General features: G+C 37.8%; 1 protein-coding gene across 1 annotated transcript in view; it reads right to left on the reverse strand.

Annotated features, from left to right (window-relative positions):
- The window catches only part of TNFRSF11B (TNF receptor superfamily member 11b), a 28,329-nt gene continuing 16,415 nt past the window's right edge, over nt 337–12,250 (reverse strand). The window contains exons 2-5 of the mRNA NM_002546.4: nt 9,711–10,080; nt 5,518–5,709; nt 3,274–3,498; nt 337–1,542 (exon numbers count right to left, since the gene is read on the reverse strand). Coding sequence (NP_002537.3) covers nt 1,154–1,542; nt 3,274–3,498; nt 5,518–5,709; nt 9,711–10,080 — 1,176 coding nt within the window. The 3' untranslated portion in view covers nt 337–1,153. The remainder of the gene's footprint in view (nt 1,543–3,273; nt 3,499–5,517; nt 5,710–9,710; nt 10,081–12,250) is intronic.

The raw sequence follows: 12,250 nt of genomic DNA on the forward strand, positions 1-12,250 counted from the left end.
TATTTTTCTTAAACTTAATAGTGCCAGTTTCTCTTATTTGCTACCAAAATAGCTTACGTAGCTTGGTGTCTCAGGGTTAGTGGCAGCAGTTATAAGTGGCTTGCACTATCTGTAATCTAAGGCTGACTTCAGAAGTTCTCCAGTCTTAGTGTAATACGAATTACTTTGGAACTTGTTAAAAATGCAAGTTTCTGCTCTCATTGGCAGAGTTTTTCAACAAATTGGTGCAGGAATCTGCATTTTTAGCATTTCCCAGATGTCCTGGTGATAACAGGGAAATTATGAAAGCTCAGACCCTTTAATGTCCCATTCAAATAAAAGCAACAGAAAAAGCAATAAAAAATAATTTGAAAACTTTAATAATGTCATTTATATAGTTATAAAACCATAAAATCTTTTAAATAAGGTACATTCAATTTCTCAGAGCATCTAATATTCAGATAATTTATATTTCATATGTTTTCCAACATTAAACAATTGACTAAATAATGCATTTTCTATAAAATGATATTACAGCTTATACAGATAAAATTATAAAAATACTCCACACAGAAAAATATGGCAGTACCTATTAGAAAAATGCTACAAACTTTCCATTAAAAATATATATTTTCTCTTTCATTTGTCATAATAAACAGAATATAATTTTCTTTCTAAAATTAAGTCATACCGTTTCTTTATAGGATGATAATATGTACAAATCTTATATCTGAATGAATATAAATAGCAATACTGTAATAGTGTTACAGATATATTAGTAACTTTTACAGAAAAAAATATGGCTTTCTAATAAAAGCCTCTAGCATAGCTGAAATCTCAAAGCTATTTAAGTTAGACATTCCCATATTTAGTAAGGCACAATGGAGTCTAGTTTTTTTTTTTTAATTTCCAGTTGAATTACTGCAAGCAGTAATAAGGGAAAATATAGTCAGTAGATAACGATCCAGATCTGACAGTTGGATTAACCATTTGGGGTTTATTGGAGGAGATGTTAGTCCTTTCTCCACATCATAGTTTCTTTTAGTACCCTGTGGCAAAATTAGTCACTGGTAATGAGAAAGATATCACTGAAAGCCTCAAGTGCCTGAGAAACAGTTTACTCATCCATGGGATCTCGCCAATTGTGAGGAAACAGCTCAATGGCCATTTCCAGTTATAAGCAGCTTATTTTTACTGATTGGACCTGGTTACCTATCATTTCTAAAAATAACTTCTGATACAATTTGTACATTGTGAAGCTGTGAAGGAACCTGATGGTCTTCTTTAGACTCTGAGTGACAGTTTTGGGAAAGTGGTACGTCTTTGAGTGCTTTAGTGCGTGCATTAGGCCCTTCAAGGTGTCTTGGTCGCCATTTTTTATTCGCCACAAACTGAGCAGCTTCAGGATCTGGTCACTGGGTTTGCATGCCTTTATTGTTTTTTCAATGTCTTCTGCTCCCACTTTCTTTCCCGGTAAGCTTTCCATCAAGCTACGAAGCTGCTCGAAGGTGAGGTTAGCATGTCCAATGTGCCGCTGCACGCTGTTTTCACAGAGGTCAATATCTGCATAAAGCAAAAGCCCAGATAAGTGTTCACATCATTTATATTCATCCAATGCCATCATAAAACAAGCGTGAGGCAAAAGGTTCTTGCAGAATTTCATAATTATATTTCAATGATAACCTTTTCTTTTGAGAGGGAGTTAAGTGACACCATTTATTTCTAAGAACTGAGATAAATATTTTTTGTTATAATAAGATAATATGCTATATATTTTTGGCATCCAACAAAACTTTGGAAGAAGCTCCTAATTTTGAAAATTAACAGTAGAAAATAAGACACATCACTCTCAGTTTTCTAAGAAAAAGTTTGAGAAATTAAAACCATAACATTTCAGAAAAAAAGGAAAGTATTCAAGTTAGCTACTTTGTAATACAAAGTTTCATTAGTAGGCGCTAGTTGATAAGTTAATTGCCGTAACTAGCCTTTAAAGAATACACATAGCACCAGAGGACTACCTCCATGAGGAGGATATCTGAAAACTCAAAGACATGAGGTCGAGGAACTAAAGGAGACACACAGCCTAGAGAATATTTCAGTAATAAGCTAGGGTACAAACCTAAGAGGGAGGAACTAACATTTCTATTAATGACATGAGTCACTTAGTATCTGTGAGCCCTAAGGCAAATCGGTTCATCTTTCTGGGTTAAAATGTCCTCATTTATAAAATAGGGAATTTGGTTGCTTCCAATTCTAACGGTCTCTGATTTTCTCTTTTCTTTCGGCTTCAGGGCTAATTATACGTTCAAAGAATACTTTTGGTTTGCTCAAAACATAAAAGTTTACTCTTTGCATAAGCAAAAGCAATCAGCTCTCAAAGACGTTGGTCTCCTAAAATCTGTTGCCCCGGTTTCAGATACTTGAAGTTTTTTAGGGTAGTGCAAGACTATACAGTCATTTAACTACTGGTGAGGACCTGAATGAATTTCTCACTGACCCTGTCTGCATTATGGAAACTCTTCTTCCTTTTTCTTCTAGCATGTCCTCCCAATGCTTACTGAAGTCAGAACTCTTTCCATCATGTGTCGTAAAGCTTACAGTCCACACTGGATGAAACTCCTTTTCTTCAGATTCTTTCACACTTCTCTCCCTATCTCTCTCTGTTTCTCTCTCACACCATTTCTAAAGGAGAATCTTTATATAAACTTATAAGATGTGAGAACATTTTGCTGTAACTAGCTTTTTCCTACAAGAGGCTCAAACACTTTTCAGATTTTATCTCATTAATTCTCATAACATATGCCATTAAAATAATTTTAATGCAGGCCATATCATGAGGATTAATAAGAACATATTTGTAAGCTACGAAAAGCCTACCTGGAGAGAATTACCAAGTAAATACAACAGAGCTTCTTGGTAGAGGTGCAATGTAAGATACAAAGTGGTTATAGAGCTTCTCCTTGGTGGTCTAGAGGGGCTGCTTACAGAAGCGTTAAGGGATCTGGAAGCGACTCCCTGAGATACAGCCCTGCCTTCAAATGCATTTCTCTTCTCTTAGAGTGTTCAACATACTTTACAAGGAAACTGGGGAGCAGGGGTGAGAACAAAACCTTGTATAACTGTTTTTGGAATCACATCTACATTATCAGTTGGTGGAAACTTTTTCAGTCCAACAATGATTCCAACAGGGAAACAAGATCCACACAACTAAACATACATGCAGTCTTGTTCCTGGTTTATGATAAATAGGTGTCTTTGATTTCTGATTGATCTTTTTATTTTAGATTATCATACCTTGGATGATCTTCTTGACTATATCTTGGTCTTTGTTTTGATGTTTCCATAACTTCAGCAGCTGGAAAGTCTGTTCTTGTGAGCTGTGTTGCCGTTTTATCCTCTCTACACTCTCTGCGTTTACTTTGGTGCCAGGCAAATTGTCTACCAAGACACTAAGCCAGTTAGGCGTAAACTTTGTAGGAACAGCAAACCTGAAGAATGCCTCCTCACACAGGGTAACATCTAAAGAAAGGTTAGAAAACCCAGAAGATTTACTCAACAATTGGATTTCTGAGAGTCTATTCAATACAAACAAAAACAAAAAACCAACACAATTGAATTTTCCAAGATAAAATATGCTAAAATGCAAAGTTTGAATAAAATCAAGCTTCTGTTGGCTGGTCTTAGTGGCAGAGACCAACTGAGCTTACGTGTCTTCTAATGTTCTTTTTTGGGCATTGTTTTCAAGAGAAAGTTTAGTAAATGTCTAATTAGAGTGAAATATTGTTGTAAATAAGTAACAGCCAAAAATTCTTATAATGAATACAAACATTAACATTCTATTAAAGGTTTACCTAGTACCCACAGGGAACTTCATGATTAATGTCAAAACAAATAATTATCACTGACTTAAAGGAATTTGAACAGTAATTTGGAATAGTGTGTTATTTTTTGCCCACATTTAGACACATAGTTTACCTTTGGAAACAAAGCAAGAGATAGATACAGATATATAAGTAGACATTACATAGGAAAATAACCAAACATAAAACTATGTTATTTACATAGGCATTACAAAGCCCAGAGCATCTGGGTAGAGTAAGTATGTCCCAGAAAATGGGAGTAATGGGTGTTTGTTTTTGGATTCATCAGACCTGGCTTTGAATACTAGTTCTGCCGTTCTACTACCTATATTCATCTGAAGCAACTTTCACAGTGTTTTTATAAATGTTAAAGCCTCTATAGCACAGTACCACATAGTAAGTGCACAATAAATGAAAAAAAGTAAAATTAAAAATGAATTAATTAAAGAGAATGTTAAAATTTGATCACTCCTTTTAATACCCCTTCCTTCATTTTTTTTTTTTTTTTTTAGATAAGAAAGCAAAGGCTAAAATGGCTTGTCTATGATTTCAATTACACAATGAAACAATGCTGGAACTGGGTTAGAATCTCATATATATATCAATTCACATTTCTCTGCTTCATAAACTTCTTTGTAGTACGAAAAACTGTTTGGGGAGAGTCAAGCTGGTTTATACCATTGCTTGATTAAACACAAAAAAGCAAATCATCTTTAGTGTAATGTGTCTTTGAGTGAAGGTCTGAGATTAGTCTAGTGGTGGGAGTGACAAGGTGAACACACACACTAGCCTGATGAATTGTCATCACTACCGTGGAATGCATTCGAATAACCTGAACTTAATACTAGTGACCTGTACCCAATGAAGAGCTTAACACAACCAGAGTAGCTTGGAAGTTCCATGCAATAGATGCACTAATACCATAGGTAACAAAGCCAAGTACACATTTCTAATGTGTGTGTGTGTGTGTGTGTGTGTGTGTGTGATGAAATCTTGCTCTGTTGCCCAGACTGGAGTGCAGTGGTACAATCTCAGCTCACTGCAACCTCCATCTCCTGGGTTCAAGCGATTCTCCTGCCTCAGCCCTGAGTAGCTGGTACTAGAAGTGCCTGCTACCATGCCCAGCTAATTTTTGTATTTTTAGTAGAGACAAGGTTTCACCATGTTGGTCAGGCTGGTCTTGAAATCCTGACCTCAAGTGATCTGCCTACCTTGGCCCCCCAAAATGTTGGGATTATAGGAGTAAGCCACCATGCCTGGCCTAATTTGTCATCATGTTTATATCACTTTGCTTCTTAGTTGCCAATTTATACTTTAGTTAATAATACAGACATTCTTGAAAGTAATAACACACAACTTGAATTCTACAGTTTGGACTCTCCTAATTTCATCTCAGTGGCAAACTTGACACTGCCCTTTGCCTATGGGCAAGATTTGATTTCAGTGTGAAAGGAGAGAAAATCAAGCTTTGAGGTGTTATCTGTGAGAAGATGAGTTTTTGAGAGATTCTGAGTGGTAGCTTTAGCAGTAATGCATCGAGAGTAGCCTTAGCTGGTTAAGATTCAAGAAAGGGAAAATGTAAGTTTGACCAAGAATGTGGCTGGAGGCCTTGTGTTCAACTCAGAGAGAGAGATGATACTACAAAATCGTACAAAGACGTATTTTGGAATGTAATTACCTATTCCACATTTTTGAGTTGATTCACTGTTTCCGGAACATATGTTGTCGTGTGTTGCATTTCCTTTCTGAGTTAGCAGGAGACCAAAGACACTGCAATTTGTGTGTTTTCTACAGGGTGCTTTAGATGACGTCTCATTTGAGAAGAACCCATCTGGACATCTTTTGCAAACTGTATTTCGCTCTGGGGTTCCTACAGAAAATACCAAGCAATTTAGTACCTTCTCCTCAAATCGTTTCCCAGCAGATGCCCTCTTAACACAGTTTTGGAAAGACTTTTCACTTGGTTTTTACTGCTACTATTATGTTGCACAAAACTCTAGCATTTTCATTTTTCACTTCATTAGACAGAACAAAACTTCCACCATCATCCCCTTTGGCAGTTTCTCCTCCTTGTAATGCAAATGCAAGTCAATTTTCTCGTTACCTACAAAACGCTCATGAAATGTGAGAGGAAAGGAAAGAAGGGTAGGGTGTTCATTAGTCCAGCCTCCGCTGAGTGGCAGTAAGGCCGTGTTGTCAGCCATATTCTTCATACAATTATTCCTAGAAAATCAAGATAACTGCTGTGTGTCTGCTGTAATATCATTCTTTGAAATTAGTACCCATTGAATGCTGCATCATTAAATTCCAATCAGTTCCTACTGAAGTTCTTTCTTTCCTGAATCCTAATTGTGAAGCAACTCCTAAGTATGCTAACCTTGAGAAGTAAAAATTTACAACATTATAATAAACTTTTGAAGGTGGCAATAAAGTTGGCCGCTGACTCAAAAGCGTAAGCCTGCAGTTAAGCTACATAGTAAACGGAAGATGATATACCATTTGCTTAAACTGTTTAAAACAGCAGAGTCGTTAAAACTTCAGGAAGGGTGACTGCAAGGGCATTTTACTTCATGATGGAAAAATATTTGATAAATTTGAAGAAATCATTGGCAGAAAAACTTGAACCAGTCCACAACTAAAGACGCTATTAAAAATAAATACCTTCAAACACTTGACTATATTACGCATGGCTAGATCATACATTCCAGTGTATCTGAATATGAAAATATCTCCATCTAGTGTAAGCTAGTTGAACAGATTTAGACTTCAATATCCAAATGTAGATTTTACAGGCCAATTCTGGCTTATGCAAGATAACAAATATGAAAGAGAAAAATCAAAGCTACAGAAACTTATTAAACTTCATTTATAAATCTCAACCTCCTACCTCATTGTATCTTTTACCAAAACCAGAAAATAAAAAAAGGGGCAAAATGGACTGGTTCTAGTTTCATCTCCTGTCTCTTTCTACATGATTCATTGACCTGCAAAAATGACAAAGGGCTGGCAGAAAAAAAGAACAGGAGGGGAAAACACAGCCTAAAACCTTCACATATTAAATATTATTTCCAGCATTGCACTGACATTATCTTAGGAACCACCTTACAAAGCAAAGAGGGTTTTCTGTTTGTGTGTTTGTTTTTAGTACTTTCCTACTACATCCTACTCCTTAAATGGGATACAACTCTATATCAAATTCTACAATATCATAAGCAGAGGTATTTGGGCAGGGATTCCATGGCATTCTTTCATTGCTAATTTACTCGAAATAAGTGACTTGGACACCTGGACCCAGGTCTCCCTTTGTTGACTGCCGTATGTTCTGCATGAAGAAGAATCTTTTTTGGGGGGAAGGCGGGGGCGGCGGCAGGGACGGAGTCTCATCTCTGTCACCCAGGCTGGAGTGCAGTAGAGGGATCTCAGCTCACCACAACCTCCGCCTCCAGGGTTCAAGAGATTCTCCTGTCTCAGCCTCCTGAGTAGCTAGGGTTGCAGGCATGCACCACCATGCCCTGCTAATTTTTGTATTTTTAGTAGAGGCAGGGTTTCATCATGTTGGCCAGGCTGGTCTTGAACTCCTGACCTCAGGTGATCTGCCCGCCTTGACCTCTCAAACTCTTGAGATTACAGATGTGAGCCACCGTGCCGGGCCTAAGAATCTTGTTCATTCTTCAGATACATATCTGTGGCTTGGGTCTTCTCCTGCATCCTAATGAGAAGTTCATATGTGTCAGATATTTCTTTTAGGTAAGTTAGCTTTTAAAGTTATTTAACAAAAAGAATCTAAGAATGACAGAACTAATGTTTCATAATATATTCAGAAGCTTTATCTAATGACCTTCCTGAACATGAACATGACTTCCCTCTATAACTGATGGTACTTTTTATGAAAAAGATCTATCCATCTAAGTAATGATTTTACCTTATTACTATCAGTGGAAATATAAAAATTATAACCTGCCAGGCAAAATGTGAAATTATAATGATGGAGAAATTTGGCTTTACAGTTGAGAATTCACCATGCTTGCTCTAAGTAATTCCACAGGAATTAACAGAATGAAGTAAATAAAATATGGAGAGGAGACAATCTGATTTCAAAACAGCAACAGCAACAACAAAACGGTTATTAAATACTTTTTAGAGTAACACCACATAGTCTTTCCTTCTCTTTGGGCTGGAAACCTCTTATTTCCCAAGAGGAACTGCTGTGTGGGTTTTTAGGGAGGGAGAGGTAAATAAATCCCACTGTGCTGCCAGTGTACACAGAGTAAAATGTGTACTTTTGTTCTGAGTCTTCTGGCTGCCTGCTTGCTTCATTCTACAAACAGATTTTCTTACTTATTTAAGAAAGATCCTTGTGATTTCCATTATTTTTCAAAATTTTCTAGTTTCCAAGCTGCATAGCCCACTTTTCATTTTTCTACATATACAACTTACTGAATGAATTACATGGATTTGCTTTTATCTGATGGGATTCCACACCCCGCACCCTGACACACACACAACTTAGCTTAGCTTTTGAGTCTCAAAGTACCATCCAATAGAAAGTAGGAACTATCACCAATTCCTCCCTCAAATACTCATACGAAGAGGAATTTTAAGGGACTCTGATGCAATTTGCATCTTCTGTGATTAATTTTATAAGATTCACTATTTGAGAAACAGAATAGATTTTGATTTTTGAATGTTTCATTTGTATGCCTTTAAACCTAAAGTATTGGTCGTCTAATAATTTAGACTTTGTATATCACAAGTTTTGAGAGTTAAAATAGTTACAGATACTTAGCATTGATGACCCTGTTCTCAACCAGGAGTGATTTTGCCACCTGACGACATTTGACAGTGTCTGAAGACATTTTTGGCTGTCACATGGGGGAAGGACTGCTATTGGTATCTAGTGGCTAGAGTCCAGGGGTGCTGCCAAAATTCTACAATGCGCAGGACAGCTGCCCACAAAAAGGAGTCCAGCCTAGGAATCCAGATATTTCTTAAAATATCAGCAGGGCTTCAGTTGAGAAACACTGCTTCAAACTGAGTCATCAGAATCTATACTGATTACTTCTTCCATCTAAGTAAGTGGATACTCTTAATTTTCTCAAGCTATGAAAAGTTATAGGCTGCACTGAAGCTTCGCAAATGTGGCAGAAAAAAACGTGGGTTACTGGTTTAAAAGATTCAATACACATGAGCCCTGACCAATGCTGTTCAAAATGCAAAAGAGAAAGCACTTGGTTTATAGGCAAGTGCTTGCTCTTGGCTTGACAATCTGTTTTGTCTAAGATAAAGAATAAGCTCATTGAAGAGATTCTGCTATAGTCCTTACCCTCCCAAACACTCAGCTCCCATGCTAAAGGAAGAACTAGCCTTGTTTTTAATAATGAAATGCAATTCCCCTCACCATTCTCATTTTTTACATAATTAATTATAACTGCTTATTGTTAGCACTCCAGAGTCTCATTAATATGAGCATAATTACTCTCTTGGTATAAATTAACATTTCTGATGTTTGTCAAAAAGTGCTGCAGTTTGAAGGTGTCCATGCTGAAGTGAAATATAGAGGTATAGATCAACTATCAATAGTGCAACTTGAGTTTGTTTCTTTAAAAAAAAAAAAAAACCATCATGCATCTCATGAGAGAATAATTTGCTGCATTTGAGATTTGTCATTAAATTGCCCTGTAGTGGCAAAGTATTCCTCTGAGCAATGGTCCTTTGGAAGCACTCCAGACACATAGTACCTACCTGGCAGGTTTCATTACCTTTGCAATTTGCTATCCTATAATGTCATCAGAACAAAAGTGTTCTCCTAAACTGTCACAACTATCTGACTTTGCATGATCCTAATTAATTTTGCTGCACATTGACACGTACCAGCTTGCACCACTCCAAATCCAGGAGGGCAGCTCCTATGTTTCAAGCAGAACTCTATCTCAAGGTAGCGCCCTTCCTTGCATTCGCACACGCGGTTGTGGGTGCGATTGCACTCCTGCTTGACGTACTGCAGCTCCTTGCACACGGGGCTGCAGTATAGACACTCGTCACTGGTGTGCCAGCTGTCTGTGTAGTAGTGGTCAGGGCAAGGGGCGCACACGGTCTTCCACTTTGCTGTACAGTGTTGTTTTAGGTAGGTACCAGGAGGACATTTGTCACACAACAGCTGATGAGAGGTTTCTTCGTCATAATGAAGGTACTTTGGAGGAAACGTTTCCTGGGTGGTCCACTTAATGGAGATGTCCAGAAACTAGAAGGAGAAAGGAACACAGTGGCATCATCTTAGCATGAAAATAGGTTTGTTCTTATGTGCAACAGTATCATTTGACTCAAAGTCCTGTATTACCTTAAGCCTAATGAGATTTGCCACAAAGTAAGCTTGGAAGCCATAATTTTTGCCTCCGGGAGCTTAATCTCAAAGACCAGGAATGCAGATAGCAGTGAACATATTAACTAAAATCCAGGCTCAAAGATGACTGGAGTAGAAAGCCCATCAAAATAGAACTATAACACTTAGATGCACTGCTGAATTACCATGTGACTTGAAAGACACTTTGTCGTCTTGGGTTGCAGGATTATCTCTAGGTGAGTGAGTTGGATTAACTGGTAATTCTCAGAACAGCTACACAAATCACCTGTTAAAAATATAGATTCCTGGGATTCATATCCTTAAGTATTCTTATTCCACCGATGTGGGGATGTGGGATTGGGCCTGGGGATTTAAAACACCTGCAGTGTTTCTGACGCCTGGGATGCATACTAAATAATCATCTCTTAATTTATTCATTTGACAAATAATTAACTGAGCCCTTAGTATGTGCCAGACTTTGTTCTGGGCACTTGGGATACAATTCTGAATAAAATAGGCAAGAAATTCTGCCCTTATGGAGTTAATCCAATTAGAGGAGTAAAAATAATACATTATAATAAACTACGCAAGTATTGTTTTAAAAAAGGAGAGAGAGCAGGTAAAGAAGCCTGGAAACATGGAGGGGAAAATAGGGAGATTAACATTTCTAAGCACGGTGCTCATATTGGGGACTAAAGGATACCTCTTTCAGTTTTCCTATTCTAAGACTTTTGGATTCCAAGAAAATACTGAAGAGTTGGTGATATGCGAAGGTATATGATTACAACAATCATTCCTATTACTCATTCATGCAACAGATATAGGTTGAATGCCTACTAGGTGTCAAGCACCAGGAATATGCTGGTGAGTCAGACATGTCCCCTGTTGCCATAAGCTTGCAGTTCACCGAAAAGATTCCTCGAATGTAAGGTTGATATTTTCTCTAAACATCATATTGACCAGCAGTCTTGACTCTCATAGGTGAATGACATCTAAAAACAATATTAAGTAAATTAACTGACCACATCTCTTCAGGTGTACTGGGATAAATTTCAGGGAGCAGGCAGGGATCAGAAGTTTCCATACATAATGGCAGGAAGAGGCCTGTGCAGTAGGGGAAAGAGGATTTCATGGGCAAGGGTGCCACTTGGAAGGAGAGTTTCAACTGGGTATTCTGTCTTGTATTTTAGATCCCCAAAGGTCTTCCAGGGAGCACTGAAGTAGTTCTTCACACTAATTACAGGAATCACACGCTCAGAAGAAACTGTGTTTTTTGTGTGTAGGGGGTGGTTTGTTTGTTTTTGGTACAGAGATCAACACTGACTATTTTCAGGCCTTGGGGAGGTGGTAAACCAAACAATAATTTTTTCCAAACTCTCTTTGCAGAATTCAGGAAATCTCACAGGAACCCCCTGACCTGGAAAAGGCATGCCAAGCTAGGGAAACAGCACACCCTTTTGAATTAGGGGTGGCAAAGATAAAGAATGGCCTTTTTCATAAGCATTTGAACATTTTAACTGAAGTAACTTCATTCACTTCTTATGGGAACATGGCAAGTGTTTGGGCTGATTTGACCTAATATGAGTTGATAAACCAGAAGAGAAGAATGAAACATCTCATCCGGTCATTGACCTCTTCACAGAGACAATTTTCAAAGACAGTGAGTGCTGTAATGCAAGGAACTCCCAACCAACAATAAGCAAAATTCACTGCAAGCTCAGAGCTGCTTCAGTGGTCTTTTCAGGACATTCCCTTGACCTGAGAGTTTCTAGTGAAAGCATCTTCTTGAATTTTCCTGGGGCTTTTAATTGTCTCAGGTGGAGTGGGTTGACACTAGATTACAGAAATGGACCAGTAGTGAGTGGCAGCTCTGGTTTGTTCTGAATCTTTCAGAAATAGATGGAACCTATTTCTTCATTCAACACACACTCCTTGAGCATCCACTATGTACCAGGCATCATGGAGGGAACTTAGCATGTGGCATACATAAAACGCAAATGGTCCTTGCCTTCAAGTTCATACTTGAGTGAGCACGCAGACAATAATAAGTGAAGAAATAATTACAGCAAGT

Source organism: Homo sapiens, chromosome 8 (genome assembly GCF_000001405.40).
Source record: "Homo sapiens chromosome 8, GRCh38.p14 Primary Assembly".
Classification (NCBI taxonomy): Eukaryota; Metazoa; Chordata; class Mammalia; order Primates; family Hominidae; genus Homo; species Homo sapiens.